The sequence below is a fragment of the Homo sapiens genome, chromosome 11, assembly GCF_000001405.40.
Source record: "Homo sapiens chromosome 11, GRCh38.p14 Primary Assembly".
NCBI lineage: Eukaryota > Metazoa > Chordata > Mammalia > Primates > Hominidae > Homo > Homo sapiens.
Window position 1 is genome coordinate 123,352,847 of NC_000011.10, and position 16,527 is coordinate 123,369,373.

Here is a 16,527-nt window from a genome sequence, read left to right on the forward strand (position 1 = left end):
ATGTGGACATTTGGGTGGTTTTGTCCTCTCCAATCTCAGCTGTGCAGGTGCCATTATTATTATAGATGTTTCTTGTTATATTTTGTCGGGAGAAATAACAAAGCTTTTGCTCTTCTCTCTTGCCTTTTCTCTCTTACTAGCTTGGTTTCTCTTCAAATCGCCTTAACAAAAATAGAGTGTTGTGTTCTGTGTCAGGAGTTGGGGTTTTGACCTCCTGGAGTGGGTAAAATCAGCCCTTTTTTAATCCTAAGGCTGCTACCAAAGGGCACCTGATGATTTGACTTAACCCCACTGGGAAGGGACTGGGAAGAATGAGCTGCAGCTAATTACAGTGACTTAGCGGGGAAGGAGTCACATTTTCGCTCTAGATGTGGCTTTCTTGCTGGGGAGGAAGGGTAGGGTCATGTGGAGGGGTCCAAAAGGATATTTTGGGTGAGAATGAGAGGGAAATAGGAAGCATTCATTTACTGTCCTCATTCCACATGCTCGTGTTCCTACTAGTGGTAGGAAGAAAATTGTGTCTTTATTTCTCTGTTGATACAAAATGTCCTCTCTGATCACCTAATGCCCTGTTTTCTTTTAGTGGGCTAATGGGAGCCCTGGAAGCTTCACATGTTCTAGGCTGACAGACACAGAATCCAGTGAGCAGGACCTTGGGGGAGACAAGTGAGAAACTAATTTGCTTGGTTCCATTTCTAACTTAATTGGGCATTAATTAACATCTGTTCCACCATTGCTCTAGAAAAACAGAAACACTCCCAGCCCCCACCATGTCCCATAAAGTGTGTTCTAGTACACAATATGCCTACATTCCCCTAAGGCTGAAATGACTACAGGGAAGCTGGTAGTTTTACATTTTGTCATTGGATTAATTTCATGTCTCACTTCATAAATTTTCTAAACTTTAGGGTTTTGTTTCTAAATTTTCAAAATAAGGGTATGGTTACCTCCCTCTTGAAGTGGCTGTAAGGAGTATAGCTAGATATAGATGTAGATATAGATATAGATAGATAATGAATGTAAATCCCCTAGCACAGTGCCTGGTGTTTAGTAGCTACTCAATTAAAGGAAGCTTTTAATTATATGAACAATTAATATCCTTTTTTGTTCATTTCTGGGCTTGCTCAAAAGTATCTACTACTGAGATATTTTGGAGCTTACTCAAAGTATCTAGTACTCATTTCCTCCTAGCTCTGGAGGAACACAGCAGTTGTTGGGATGACTATAATAGGCCTAGTACTGCATAGGAAGAAAAGAAAGAGAAAGATTGACTTTGCATTCTGGGTTCTGTGAGCTCTTGGGTTTGGCACAACTCTCTGTATCACCAAGCTACATATGGACAATGATGCTCTGTGACTACTCTGCTACTACCACGGCTATCACACTTAGGAATACTGCTAGAGTTTTGGGTGTTAACTCTGTGCCAGTGGTTTATATACGACAATATTGTTGTCTAGTGTTATTATGCTGATTTTATAAATGAGACAACTGAGGCTTAAGAGGTTAAGCAACTTGTCCAGTATCCCAAAATTAGTGAGAAATACAGATGAGATTAATACCTAAGAAGGTTTGGCTTAAAAACCCATGCTCTTAACCACCTTGCTATACAGCCCAAGTGGTCTGAAAATTTGCCCTGGGGAGACAGAAGGGAAAAGCAGGGACAGAAGAACTGTATCTCTGCAGCTTGGCCAAGTCTGTCAAACAGGGGAGATTGACTGAAGCAACTGCTTTCCCTTTCTTCATGCCAAGCAAAGAACTCAGAGAAGAGCATACCCAAGGTGAACATGTTCCCCTTTGATCTAAGGACGCATTAACCTGGTAAGTTTCTAGACCTAGAAACAGCACTCACCAAATGCCTAGGATGAGTTAGCACTAACTAGTCTTCTCTGTGGAGGTCACAAAGACTGGGCAGTCACATGGGTTGCTGGTGTTTTCAGGGTGTAGCAATAGTGTTCCCTAAATTTGTGTCTTAGATCATGAGTTCCTCAAGATGTTCTATGAGGAAGGATTTCCTGATTCAATGTTTAATAGCTGAGACACTGTATATCCCTCTCTTGGAAATTCACGATGCCCATAAACACAGTAAAGGCTCTGAAAAGTCTTGCAATTAAAAAAAAATAACAAAACACAATGAAAAATGGCTTATTTACTTTGCTTAACTCATTATTTCCCAAACACACTTGGCCATAGAACCCTTTATTGGAGTGCCATCTATTCATATTGCAAGGAAAGAGTGTTCCATGGAACAGATGTCAAGAGATGTTTGCATAGTGCAAAGGACACTGGATTAGGAGGCCAAAGACTAGCTCCATTTCAGCTTTATTGACGTGTGTACATCAGTTTTCCTCTTTGGGCTGTAAAATGAGAAAGTTGATCTGTGTAATCTCCAGGCCTCCTTCTAGCTCAATATGTCTGTGACTATGGCTACATCCACATGACATGATGAAAGATTAAAACATAGAAAACACATTCCTCATTCTGGGAATTTTATTTTATTTTATTTTATTTTATTTTATTTTATTTTTTGAGACAGGGTCTCCCTCTGTCATCCGAGGCTGGGGTGCAGTGGCATGATCATGGCTCACTGCAGCGTCACCCGTCCAGGCTCAAGCAATCCTCTTACCTCAGGCTCTTTAGCAGCTGGGAGCACAGGTGTACACCACCTGGCCTGGCTAATTTTTATATTTTTTGTAGAGATGGCGTTGTGAACATAGAACTCTTGGACTCAAGCAATCCTCTTGCTTCGGCCTCCCAAAGTGCTGAGATTACGGGTGTGAGCCACCGTGCCTGGCTAGAATATTAAATTAGATAAAAGAAATACATGTAGGTTAGAGCAGCGTATAGTAACTGGCAGCACATAATAAATGTTTAATAAATTTTTGCCAAATAAAAGAGGAAATGTGGAAAAGATAAAAGTACACTTAAATGAAACAAACTGGTTTAAAAGGATCTTAAGTAAAGGATTAATGAGACCACGAGTGATTGAGATGTAGTTGGAATGCTTCCAGGTAGAGATCAATTTTGAGCAGTTTAGAAAGAGAAGGAAAGGCCAGGTGTGGTAGTTCACACCTGTAATCTCAGCACTTTGGGAGGCCGAGGCAGGCGGATCACCTGAGGTCAGGAGTTCAAGATCATCCCGGTCAACATAGCGAAACCCTGTCTCTACTAAAAATACAAAAATTAGCCAGGCGTGGTGGTGTGCACCTGTAATCCCAGCTACCCAGGAGGTTGAGGCAGGAGAACCGCCGGAACCCGTGGGGCAGAGGCTGCAGTGAGCTGAGATTGCACCACTGGACTCTAGCCTGGGCAACAGAGCAAGACTCAGTCTCAAAAAAAAAAAAAAAAAAAAAGAAAGAAAGAAAGAAGGAAAGTAATTTAACATTTTTATTCACCACTTACTATGTACCAGAAAATTTATGGATGTTATGTTAATCTTTGCAACCCTATGAAGCTTAAAAAAGTTTAAAACTTGCTCAGAATCACACTCGTGGTAATTGGAGATCAAGAGGTTGGAACTAATAGACCATTGGTGTTTTAATTTTAAAGTCCCAGAATCTAGGAATGTGTTCTCCATGTGGTTTGTTTTTGTTTTTTTTCAAGACAGAGTCTCACTCTGTTGCCCAGGCTGGAATGCAGTGGCGCAATCTCAGCTCACTGCAATCTTCGCCTCCCAGGTTCAAGCGATTCTCGTGCCTCAACCTCCAGAGTAGCTGGGCCACAGGTGCATGCCACTAAGCCCGGCTAGTTTTTGTATTTTAAGTTGAGACAGGGTTTCGCCATTTTGACCAGGCAGGTCTTGAACTCCTGGCCTCAAGTGATCTGCCCGCCTTGGCCTCCCTGAGTGCTGGGATTACAGGTGTGAGTCACCATGCCCGGTCGTGTTTTCCATGTGTTTTAATTTTTCATCATGTCTTGTAGATTCAGTCATCATCATAGATTCAGGGAGCTAGGAGGCCTGGAGATGATACAGGCCAACATTCTCATTTTCAGCCCCGGAGTTCAAATTCTTAGTCGGCAATCTGCTTCTCAAAGGCCACAATTTGACTAAGAACTCTTCTTGATTAATAGTATAACTGCAAGGGAGATTTCATTATTCTCTGAGTTACCTGAGTGCACATAATTGTGGAATAGGTTATCACGACTTCCCAAAAGAGTGTATGAGTGCATGGAAAATATTGGAAATCACCTAGTGCGAAGGAGCTGGAGAGAGGGTGCCCTGAGAAGCAGTTCCAGAGGAGTCCAGTGAATGCCCGAGGGAAGGGCATTTGGGAGGGAGAAGACTCTGCCAGAGATAATAACATCTTCTGGGAAAGGAAAATTAATGCTACCACCCCCTCGGCAGTCTTCCAGTGAGAAATATCTTTTGATTTATAAGCTGACACCACCAGGTAGTATTTTAGTGTAGGTGTGAGAAGCAAATGGGGGAAAATGTGTCTCTTTTGTGGGTAATATAAAAATATCTGTGTCAGAGAGTGGTTAGAATGACATGAAAGATGGAGAGGAGGATGGAAAATAATAAGTGGAAAATGGGGGTTTTATAAAGCAGATCTTGTTAGCTGGGTCTCTAGGAGAAAGCAATGAAGAAGGATTTCTCATTTCACCCTTTCAAGTTTTCAGAATGGTCGCCAACAAAATCAGCACTGTGGCACCTCTGGTGGTTTTCATTCTTCATGGTCTTCCTAGAAGAAGAGAGAGCTTAGAAGTGGTTCTGCTGAGAGTGGGGTGTGAACTTATAAATAAGCTGATCGCGTTTTCATCATGGGCTCAGGAAACCTCCCAGAGACATGGATGCCCTTGGCATAAATTATACTGACAACCCTACCTCCCGGGCCACCCAACACCCAGTCCCAGGTAAACGTGTTCTTTTCCAGGTTTGGGAACTTGGGTGCCCCCTGGCAGTGGGGTAACTCAAGTCTCTGCTTCCCTAGCTAGCTGTGTGATCCTGGGCAGCCAATGGACCTCTCTGAGCTTCAGTTTTCTCATCTGCAAAATGAGCGCTTTGAACCTGATGACTCCTCGGTGTCCTCCTGTTCTGCAGTGCCATGCTTTCAACACTGTCCAGTCCATTCCAGATGCTTCCCCATCGTGAAGATCCTCCGGGTCACCTATGCACTCCTGCTAATCTCTGCCATTTGCCTTCTTACACCCTTTCCATACCTTCCCGTGGAACACGGTAATCTGGTTTCCAGATGGGCTAATGTCTCCTCCTAGCTGCAAGGCAGCGGCGCTTCTGGCGTTGGTTTCCGCACTAAACTTGATGGTCTGATTTTAAAGGTTGATTTTAAAGAAACTGTCTGGTTGTATGTCCCCGAGTTACACTGCAGTGCTAAATGTTGGAGCGAGGCAATACCGGGAGAATCCAGGCTGCAGGCTTCACCCAGAGAGGGAGGGTGAGGGGAGGAGAGAGACGGAGAGAGGAGAGAGGGGGAATGAAAGGGGAGAGAGAGGGACCAAGACCGGCGAGCGGGAGACAGGAGCGGAAACCACAGAGGTAGAGTCAGGGCCGACACTGAAGAAACGTAGATGCACAGGGAGGGGCCAATATTAGTGTACAGAGAGAAAGAGGGAACACGGTGCGGTGACACCTAGCCTCGGAGACAGTGGGAGCTCCGAGCCCACGGAGAGCGGGGGAGTTCCGCTTCCTCCCGCCCCAGCGGCTCCCGCCCCGCCTGGGCGCAGCCGGCCGTCCCGGCTCCGAGGGTGCAGCGCGCCCGGGCGCAGCGCGAGTGCGTGGAGCCGGGCTCCAGCACGACCCCGCCGCTCGGGTTTGGGTGTCCTCAGGCTCCGCGCTCCTCCTCCCCTCCTCCAGATGGGACTGGCTCTCCTCTTTGCAAAGCCAGGCTCGCGGGGAGACGTGGTGAGCAGTAGCCAGCAGCTGGTGTGCCGTGGACGCCGCTGACCGCCGCGCGCCCGAACCGGGTGTCCACATGAGTGCCTCTCCCAGCAGATCCAGGTAAGAACTTCCTGACCTTCCTGAGCCCTAGGAGGAACACACATGGATGCCGAGTGATGGTGAGGGATCCGGGTGAAACTGGAGGCTGTGGAAACACTGGAGTGGGGGGTAGGGGTGCTGTTACATCGGAATTTTCTTAGTGAAACATCAAAGTTACCTGAGGGCCAGGTAAAGCTATTAACATGGATTATGGTTTGGCTGAGGTGTCCCTCACCTGAGAGTTTGTGTCCCCAGGAAACCACTGAGATAGATAGATTATCTCCTCCATGAATTTCTGGAGGTGGCGGAGCTGGCTTCCTTCTCCATTCAGTACTGGAGACGTGCACAGAACAGGTAGAGAGGACAGGGTTGGTTGAGCATGGAGATTGCCTCTCCTCCTCTCTATCTTGCTGGCAAAAGTTTGAACTGGAAGCACTGGCTTCCCTTGTTCTGGGCAGTGCTGCCATCTCCCTACCTGGCTGCCCCATCAGTCTTACGCCTATTCTGCTTGCATGGTAGAAGTCCGAGATTTGGCAAAAAGACAAAGTGTACATCATGGGGGTACCTAGGGAGACGAGGAAGAGGCTCTGCTTCTCGTTTCCTCTGAGGGTGGAAGTGAGAGGTTCCATCCCAGAGGAAATAGAGTTACTCTTGTGGAGTAGATGAAGGAATGAGAAGGTGTGGTCATTAGAATGAAGTTTTTAGAGCCCAAACAACTTGTTTGCACCCATCAGCCAACCTCATGCCTGGATAAACTTCATTCCTCAAAAAGTTCCTCAGCAGGATATGCAGGCGCCAAGGTAACATGAACAAACAGCTGCTTGCTGCCCCCAAGCTTTAGTTTCTAGTGGGCCTGGAGCAATTGTGAAGGACAACTCCACCCAAGGCCCAGTATTGAAGAGGGGTAGGGTGGGAGGATTGTACATATCGCGAACGCTTGGCAAATCTCTAGATTTTTTTTCCTCCTAGGAAATAATAATTTTTAAAAAGGCTTGTAAAAAATAATAAAATGTTTCATGACAGCAGCAGATGTAAAACTCCCACTACTCTGGGCAAGGACAAAGAAATTTGTGCAGGGGGCTGAGCTTTCTCCTCTGCCAACGCCTACATGGGTACATCACCTTTTGGAGATACAAATAGTATTTTTAGTGTTTTATGGATGAGGAGCCCTTCTCCTGGGAACTTTTGGGGAGGGGCGGATCTCAGCTGGGGCTCTCTCTTGGAGTTCAGGAAACTGAATAGTAGAAATAGGCTGAAAATGCTACATTTCTACACACTACCCCAAGGTCCCACTATACTCCTAAGCTGATATAGAATCTCACTGTGGAACAGATACAGTCAAAGAGAGGCACTCCTGCTTCCCAGTGTAACACACACCGATCTCTCTCTCTTCTCTCTTTCATTTAATAATATTTAGGAGGTTAGATAGGAAAGTGTAGACATGTAACTCTTATTCCCTCTATTCAACTATGCCTCCTGCCTTTGTTCCTTACTTGAAGATCATGTCTCTTGCTTGTACTGAATGTTCCTATTTATGGGACCTTCACTGCAGCTTAGAGCTTTAGTTGCCTTTGATGGTGTACAGCGAGGTTTCTAGTGTTTGCCCGAAGGCTCTTTCCTTTGGCGTATTTATTTGTAACTTGCTTAGGAGATCTCATCCTCACCTTGCAATTTGGATGAAGAGTTCTGCTGGGCGTCACTGGTGTTCAAGAGATCCAGGTCTCAAAAGGGCGTGTGGTAGTTTTAGTTTTTTCCGTCCGTGCTCAAAAGCTGTTTGGTTTTGGAGATTTGGGGCTGTGCTTTGGTGATAGTGTTGGAAGGAAACCATTATGAGCAACTGATCAATACCTAGCCAAGCTGGGGTGCCAATTTGACATTGTCACAAAAAGTGAGTGCCCTATTTGGTTGCCTGATCAGCTGTGTTCAATGATCATAGGCCTGAAATGAAATCACATTCTTTCCTTCCTTCTTTCCTTCCTTCCTTCCTTCTTTCCTTCCTTCCTTCCTTCCTTCCTTCCTTCCTTCCTTCCTTCCTTCCTTCCTTCCTTCCTTCCTTCCATGGAGTTTCGCTCTTATTGTGCAGACTGGAGTGCAGTGGTGCAATCTGGGCTCACTGCAACCTCCGCCTTCCGGTTTCAAGTGATTCTCCTGCCTCAGCCTCCCGAGTAGCTGGGATTACAGGCGCCCACCACCATGCTCAGCTAATTTTTTGTATTTTTACTAGAGATGGGGTTTCACCATGTTGGCCAGGCTGGTCTCGAACTCCTGACCTTGTGATCCACCCACCTCAGCCTCCCAAAGTGCTGGGATTACAGGCGTGAGCCACTGCGCCTGGCTGAAATCACATCCTTCTAAGGAGATGGCATTTGTCCCTGCCATCTCCTTCCAGCCTTTGCTTTTCCACCATAGTAGTCATTTGATGTCCTTGCAGATTAGCTCACTGGTGGGCCCTCTCAATACACACATCTGTAATATGTATGCTTGTCACTGAAATCACCAGCCCTAGGTCTGCAGCTGCACTCCAGAGGTGTTTCCACTGTGCTGCTCCAACTGTCGGCTGCTTTTGCACAGGTGGCATGTAGTTTTCAGTGTTTGTGTCTTTGGGCTGCTGTTTACAACACTGCTAGGAATTGTCACCCATTCTGCTTGCCCTGCAGAAGAGGTCACTTTCTCCTGGGGTGTCTGCTGCACTTCATACTCTTACTTTTCATGGATCTTTCAGCTTGATCAAGATTTTTACTTTCTTCTTCTCCTTTCTCCGTCTTGCAACTGTGGACTGGTGCATCAGGAAACACATTTCTTTTCCTGTCTAGGCACGGTCATTCTTCAAATGGTAATAAAAGCCTTCATTCCTTGATTTGATCCAGTGCCCCGATATGTACAAACCAGAAACACTGCACATATATTTTAGCTGTAAGAGTTCCATATACCCTTTATTGTGGTGTATACAGACTCTGACTTCCAAGGTGTACTCCAGTATCTGCTCTGCTTCATACCTGGTGGGTCTGCATTGCACATCTGCATAATGAATGGACGTTGCCAATAACAGGCAGGAGGAGTGGCAACAGTGTTACTGCAGAGAAAGAGAAAGAGAGAGAGAAAGTATCTTAGGAAACGGGATGGTAAGTAGGCACATGGTCTTATGAGGGTCACCTTAATTTATTAAAGCCTCATTTGGTAGGCATGAGAATAGAATTTATTAGTTGGTGGACCACTTGGCAGCAGCCTCATACACAGATCTATAAGATATTTAAATACTTTTCTGGAATGGGTTGACGTTGATGAATTTGTGACATAGTGGTCTGTTAACCATCTTTCCTCTTAGGTGTTCCTTAAACCAACAGCAATGTTGTCTTCAGAAAGTTGCTGGTGATCCACAGTAGGGGAGAGGAATATCTCTAGTTGTTCATGAGCATCACAGGTGAATAACCCATTCTAGGCATATACCAGGCATACAGAATGAGCTAAACTGTGTTGGTTTCATCAGCCATTCTAACTGGCTTAAAACTCTCTGAATCCTTTGGCTTGAAACTAGGTCAAATGGTGAGACCTTTTTGAGATCCTAATGGGCATAAAACAGGAAGTATCTTTCTCCTGTCAGCACCCTCATGGGCTCTTGGTGCAACTCTGGATCTTCTGGTAAAAGAGAAGTTTTTCCCTTCTGAGCCAAGCTTGCAACAGGGTTAATTTGGGGGTGGCCATGGACTTCAGGGGTCAGAATTGGAGAGTGCAACTTGCATTTATTTTTTTAAAAAAGCTTCATAAAAATAAAAATTGATTTATACAAAAACACAAGACCAGTGATGTACTACCTACCTACTCTCCCACCCCATGAGTTGCTGAGCTCAATGGATAGTAAACATATTAATCTAGATGAGGAAGTATAAAAAGGCCATCTTTGCAGCTCATCTGCCATCCAATCTAATTGAACTCTGAAATCCCATCTTTCTAGATATGTTCCATGTCTGGGACTTGGGGAAGGGGTAGGGGATAGGGGGAGAGGCAGGGATGGAAGAGAGCAATTCCTAGAAAAGTTTGTGAGATCCACCGAACCTGGAGATACAGGCTGCCCCGGAAGGCAAGGGCAGCCCTGGTGAGGGTGCTGGAAGCATGGGAGGAGAACCAGTCCCTGGGAAGGAGAGAAAGAGAAATGACACATAGAAATGATGAGGGAGGGGAGGGTAGGGTGGCGGAGAGAGGAAGCAAGCCAAAGAGGAGGAGGGAGAGGAAACAGATGGAACAAGAGGAAGATGCAGCGAGCAAACGCAAGAAAAGGCCAAAGAGGGGAAAAGAGCAGAAGATAAGTGAAAGCAGCACCTTGCTTTCAGGTTTTTTCTCTTCCCCGTTTTCCTCTGGCAGAGGGAGAATGCAAGCGAGCCAGCAGAACAGCGTGGTTTTTGTGCTTTGGAGGCTTCTCATTGAAGCTGTCAAGCCTCAACCCCTCACGGCAGCTCATTCTATTTTTATATTTTGCAGAATGGAAATTAAACAAATGACCCCGTGATGGCGTTTTCATGAAGATTTTATCCAGCACACCCACACAACCAGTGCTGGGGTGGCTGAATATTTAGCATAATATTCTATTTAATCAGATAAGAAGGTATCCTCAAGAGAGTGGCAGACATGAAGCCTGGGCTTTGATAACCGCCTGTAAAGAACTGTTTTGATGAGGGTGGGCAGAAGTCAGAAAGGAACCTTGTTCTCTGGCTTTTGGGCTTGTTAGTAGGAAGAACCCCAGTTAACTGAATTCTGGTGGAGCTTAGCATTTCCCCTCTCATACTCTCTCTCATACTTTTTTTTTGTTTGTTTTTTTTTGGCACTGGGTTTGGTTCCAGACTTTGTGAGCCCTCATGGTTCAGTTCTCCTTGGAGATCTCATTGGCGGCTAAAAATGGCTCACTTTGGCTGAACTTGCCCTGAGTGGAAGCCTTGCTTAGAATTTGGGTGCTCACTCTATTTGTTGGCCTGGTTAGGGAAGCTGGTGTGTACTTTGCTGACGGGACAGTGCTTAGGCAGCTGGCATAATGATGCACATCTAGTACTTGGTGAGAACACAAAGCAGATGATATTTTATTGGCTTAGACACGGACTTACTTCCTTAAGTCCCAGAAGATTTAGTAGCAATTAAATGCATGCCCGTTTGCACATAACCATCCTTTTGAAGGAAAACAAAAACAAAAACCAACAATGCATGTTAAGGGGGCCAATCAATCGGACATGGTTGGTTGGGTGGATGTAAAAATGTGAGACTGTTCAGAAGGCTTCTCACTGCCATGCACGTGTTTGTGTTTAACAGGGTATTTATGGGCTCTTTTTCCTTATATATTGAAGGGTTATATAATTCCCCAGCTATTAACCTTTAAAATGCTGTTTTTACAAGTTCAGTACCTAGACTAGATAGCAATAAAGAGTGATGTTGAGTCAGCCTGACTTCAAAGGGAGCGATGGGTGGAACAGTTGGACTCGGAAAGGAGCGCTTCTTCCTACCAGCTAGCCTTGTAGTGGCTGATTTTTCCCTCTGAAATGAAACAGGCTTACTAGCCAGAGACTATTCCCTGCAGTGACTATAAAAAGGTATCTTCGTCTCTGACGCAGGGAGCGATTGAGAGCATCGGCATGAGCCATCTGAGTGTGCGTTCAAAGACCTGAGGAAAGGCAGGATTGACAGTCTATTAAGGGGAAGACAGAAGCCGCTATCCTTTTCCTCCTCTAATTAGGCATCCGTGTGCATTTTCTCTCACCATTCTTTGTTCTTGCCTATCTGATTAAGACAGTTCATCTGGCATAGCTTTGAAGCGAAGGAATGTTTTTATGCACGTTGAGGAAGAAGAGGAATAAGATAAACTCAGGTCAGAACTTCCTTTACTATGTCATTTTCAGAGTATGGCTTCCCAGATACAAGGCTCCATCTTTCAGGTCTCTCTGCTCAGCCATGCTCCAGAGTTGAAATGTTTCTCAGTGGCAGCCCTACAAGCTGAACGTGACTGTCTCCTTTGCTGCTTTGGCATGTGTTTTCCCCAGGCTCCTCTACTTGGGCCCTGAACCTCTTCAGGCTCCAGTTTTTCAAAAAAAAAATTTGCAAAATGAGTTTCTCAACTTGTTTGGAAATAGAGAATTTATACAAAGTCTTTCATTTTTCCTAGTGAGAATGGCATGGTTAACCCTGTCATGAGAATGGCCGATAAAAAAAATCACCTTTGAACTCTTCATTATTCTTATTTTATTGCTACTAAAATGTCATTTGTATCATGACTTATTGCTTACAGCGCTATTCTGTTGTTTTATTTAATTGTCATAAAAATATTTTGCATAAGGAATTATTATTACCCATGTTATAGTTGCAGAAATTGAGGCCTAGAGACAGGATGCCCCAAATCACATTGACAATAAGTGGCAAACCAATGTTCTATTTTTAAACTATGATTTTCCACACCATGCTTTCCTTGTAGATTCTACCCTACATTTTCTTTCTTTCTTTTCTTCTTTTTTTTTTTAACAGCGTCTCACACCGTTGCCCAGGCTGGAGTGCAGTGGCGCAATCTCAGCTCACTGCAATTTCTGCCTCCTGGGTTCAAGAGATTCTCCTGCCTCAGTCTCCCCAGGAGCTGGGATTACAGGCACGTGCCACCATGCCCAGCTAATTTTTGTATTTTTAGTAGAGACGGGGTTTCGCCATGTTGGCCAGGCTGGTCTCGAACTCCTGACCTCAGGTGATCCACCCACCTTAGCCTCCCAAAGTGTTGGGATTACAGGCATGGATCACCATGCCTGGCCTACCCTACATTTTCAATGCCATCTTTTTCTCATAACTTTTCCTATCATCTGTCATTAGTTCTGCACCTCTGCAGGTAGGGGTCTACAAGCATCTCGCTGCAGTTGATATATAAGGGGATTCCCTAAAATATGGATACCCGTGCAAATTGAATTAAAGGAATTCAGAACAGAGAAATAGCCTATATCAATTTTCTGGAGACCTACTGACTTTCTTTTAGGTTTTGACATGTTACTCACTGCCAAGTTTTCTTGTGATCTAAGTCAGAGAAAATGCTGAATAAAAGTTAGCATTATACCTGCTCCTTGTAACTATGATCTCCCTCCTTTTTTTTGTAGATTATCTTTAAAGGTGACTCCTGCCCCATAGCCTGCACCAGCTGAACCAGTGTTTAAATAAATTTCTATAAGGCAAATAAATTATAGGAGAATTTGAGGGGGACCACCACTTTCAAAAGAAAGCAGAGGCAAATCTCTTAGGATTTAAGCCTCTATAAATTGGCTTTTTGAAGTCTTTCTTCATCTTGGCTGGGGCCATTCCCTCTATTTGAACTCAGTTGGCAGCAATCAATAGAAAATGCTAATTTCTGGTCCTGGCTTGTCTTTTGCATGCACGAGCTTCCTGCTATTTGTCTGAGAAAGTGCATACCCAGGTAAAAAGGCTGTGCTGATGGCTTTATTTAGCAGTTAGATCAACCCAAGCTGAATGATATATTTTGGCTTGTCGAAAAGCAGGAACAAGTTAGCAGGAACAGTAGGGCTATTTTTTTAGAGTGTTGGCCCAACTGTGATGAGGCTAGAGGACTTATAAAATTAGGTTTAAAACATAATTTTATCTATTCCTTTTCTTTTTCCCAAAGTATAATTCTCAGGACACCGGCATGCCCCATGGGCCTGGGTGTGTAATGCTAGTACTGGGTTTTGACTTTTCTGTCTGAAGCCTGATATCTCTGAGCAACAGCCAGATTTAATTTAGGTGTCAAACCTTTGGGCTACGTTGTATAACTGCACTGAAATGACAGGACTGTGATCAAGTTTTGGCAATTGATCTTGAGAGAAGATGAAAGGTGGTACAAACAAACATGAAATAGGAGAAAGAAGAACACAGACATTTGTACTTTTTATGGATTTTATTCCTCTGTGGGCAATGGAAAGAAGTGCGTTGATGGATTGAAATCTAGGTTTTTCAGAGCACTGGTGAAGTGCTCTTGTCTTCTATTCTTTTCTCCTGGGGTATCTTCTCTCTACCAATTGTAGACAGGGTGTAATGTGTTCTTACTCCAATATTATTCTGTTCTTGTTTATTTCTGTCATTATTTCCACATTATCACTTTATATTATTACAACAAACATTTGTTAAACAAGAAACAATGGGCCAGGTGTGGTGGCTTATACCTGTAATCCCAGCAATTTGGGAGGCTAAGGTGGGAGGATCGCTTGAGATCAGGATTTTAAGACCACCCTGAGCAACATAGTGAGATCCTTTCTCTACAAAAATAAAGAACTTAGCCAGGCATGATGGCATGCGTCTGTAGTCGTAGCTACTTGGGAGGCTGAGGTGGGAGGATCACTTTAGCCCAAGAGTTTGAGGTTGCAGTGACCCATGATTGTGCCACTGTGCTCTAGCCTGGGCAACAGAGCAAGACCCTGTCTCAAAAACAAAAACAAAACTGGAAACAAGGTACGCCTTGGGGATACAGACTTGAATAAGACATAATTCTTTCTTCATATAGCTCACGGTCTAGGAAGGAAGATAAACGTAAAGCAGAAGAGTCAGACACCTTGTTAATGACTACGAAGAGGTAAGAACAAAGTGTCATAGGAACGCCAAGTCCAGAGCAGTGAGCAGAACAGCCCAGTTGAATCTGAGAAGGCTTTTTCAGAAGAGGTTATATTTGAGCTGGGTTCTAAAAGGTGAGTAGGCGTGATCCAGACGGAGAAGGGTGAAATTGTATTTCAGGCAGATGGGATAGCATGTGCAAAAACATGGAGTTGTGAGGTACTTGACGTGTTCGCAAAGAGTCATTTAGTCAGACTCTAAGGCGTCTGTAAGAGAGGCAATGAGGCCGGCGTGATGAGTTGGAGCCTGCTTGTGAAGGTCCAGTTATGCAGCTTGTAGTTAACTGAGGCAACACCATTTTTTTTTCTTTTTTTTTTTTAGCAGGAGGGTAAGAAGAACAGATTAGTTTTTTAGGAATATAACTCTAGAAGCAGTATGGAAGATGAACAGAAACAAGGACAGTCCAAAGTTATGTCCAGATGCCATGAAGGGGGTTGCTGAGTGGTCCGGGAGAGACCTGATGGAGTTTGGACTCTGGCAAGAAAGATTGTAAAGTATCATCCAGATCTGAGAGTTAAAGAATAGTCATCAAAATTCGGTAGCAGGTGGATGGTGGAGGCTGTGGGGAGAAAGAGGAGGAGCCAGGGCCGGGCACGGTGGCTCACACCTGTAATCCCAGCACTTTGGGAGGCCTAGGCAGGTGGATCACGAGGTCAGGAGTTTGAGACCAGCCTGGCTAACATGGTGAGACCCTGTCTCTACTAAAAATACAAAAATTAGCTGGGCGTGGTGGTGGATGCCTGTGGTCCCAGCTGCTTGGGAAGCTGAGGCAGGAGAATCATTTGAACCCAGGAGGTGGAGGTTGCAGTGAGCCGAGATTGCACCATTGCACTCCTGCCTGGGCGACAGTGCGAAACTACATCTTAAAACAAAAAAAAAAAAAAAAAAAAGAAAGAAAGAGGAGGGTCCCTAGACTGCACTAATATTCTAGCTTGATGTTATCTGAACTAGGTCAATGGCCATAACTCGAGATAAAATGTACTGAAAAGTCAGGATTGAAAGATAAGTTAAGGCTGGAACAGTGGTTCACAGCTGTAATCCCAGCACTTTAGGAGGCTGAGATGGGCTGATTGCTTGAGGCCAGGAGTTTGAGACCAGCCTGGCCAAATGGTGAAACCCCATCTCTACAAAAAATACAAACATTAGCTGGACGTTGTGGTGTGTGCCTGTAATCCCAGCTACTTGGGAAGCTGAGGCACGAGAATCGTTTGAACCAAGGAGGCGGAACTTGCAGTGAGCTGAGATCGCATCACTGTACTCCAGCCTGGGTGACACAGCGAGACTCTGTCTCAAAAAAAAAAAAAAAAAAAAAAAGAAAGAAAGAAAGAAAAAAGAAAAGTAAGGTAATGAAATCAAAATTTGAGCAGGATGAGGATTGGAAAGAGGCCATTGGAGTGAAGATTTGGGGTTTCATTCATTATCTTGGCAAAAATAGTGTCAATGAAGTCCCAGGGTAAGAAGATGGGATAGGAGCAAGACAGAAACATTGTACAGAGTTTAGGACTTGAAGGCAGTTGAGAGTTTGAGCTCCCTACACTTTATATTTGAAAGAAATAAAAGGAGATGGAATGACAACTTACAGGGGAAGAAAGAAAAAAAATGAGTTTTCAAAAGCGGGAAATCAGGCTGGGCGCAGTGACTCATACCTGTAATCCCAGCACTTTGGGAAGCCAAGGTAGGAGGGTCACTTGAGGCTGGGAGTTTAAGACTGGCCTGGGCAACAAAGTGAGACCCCATATCTACAAAAATAGAAATGCAAAAAGTTAGCCAGGCATGGTGGCATGCACCTGCAGTCTCAGCTACTTGGGAGGCTGAAGTGAGAGAATCACTTGAGCCCAGGAGGTTGAGGCTGCAGTGAGCTATGATCACACCATTGCACTCCAGCCTAGGTGACAGAGCAAGATCCCATCTCTAAAAAGAAAAAAAGGAAATCGCTTGAATATGTTTATCAATACATAAGAAATATCTAGATAGGGAGAGGTTGC

The 16,527-nt window shown here is 44.6% G+C and overlaps 1 protein-coding gene across 8 annotated transcripts in view, besides 2 other annotated features; it reads left to right on the plus strand.

Moving 5' to 3' along the window:
• Positions 5,251–5,480: an enhancer, noted in NCBI's record as "active region_5677". NCBI's record gives its function as "activates an Ori minimal core promoter by ATAC-STARR-seq in GM12878 lymphoblastoid cells {active_cell/tissue: GM12878}" and the evidence as "EXISTENCE:reporter gene assay evidence [ECO:0000049][PMID:35858748]".
• Positions 5,576–16,527, plus strand: part of GRAMD1B (GRAM domain containing 1B) — a 269,346-nt gene continuing 258,394 nt past the window's right edge. For all 8 annotated transcript variants that reach the window (NM_001367421.2, NM_001367420.2, NM_001367419.2 and 5 more), the window contains exon 1: positions 5,576–5,953. Coding sequence is in view for 5 of the 8 variants with exons in the window: in NM_001367420.2 (NP_001354349.1) it covers positions 5,928–5,953 (26 nt within the window). In the remaining 3 variants the exon portion in view is untranslated. The remainder of the gene's footprint in view (positions 5,954–16,527) is intronic.
• Positions 5,681–5,790: a silencer, noted in NCBI's record as "silent region_4014". NCBI's record gives its function as "represses an Ori minimal core promoter by ATAC-STARR-seq in GM12878 lymphoblastoid cells {active_cell/tissue: GM12878}" and the evidence as "EXISTENCE:reporter gene assay evidence [ECO:0000049][PMID:35858748]".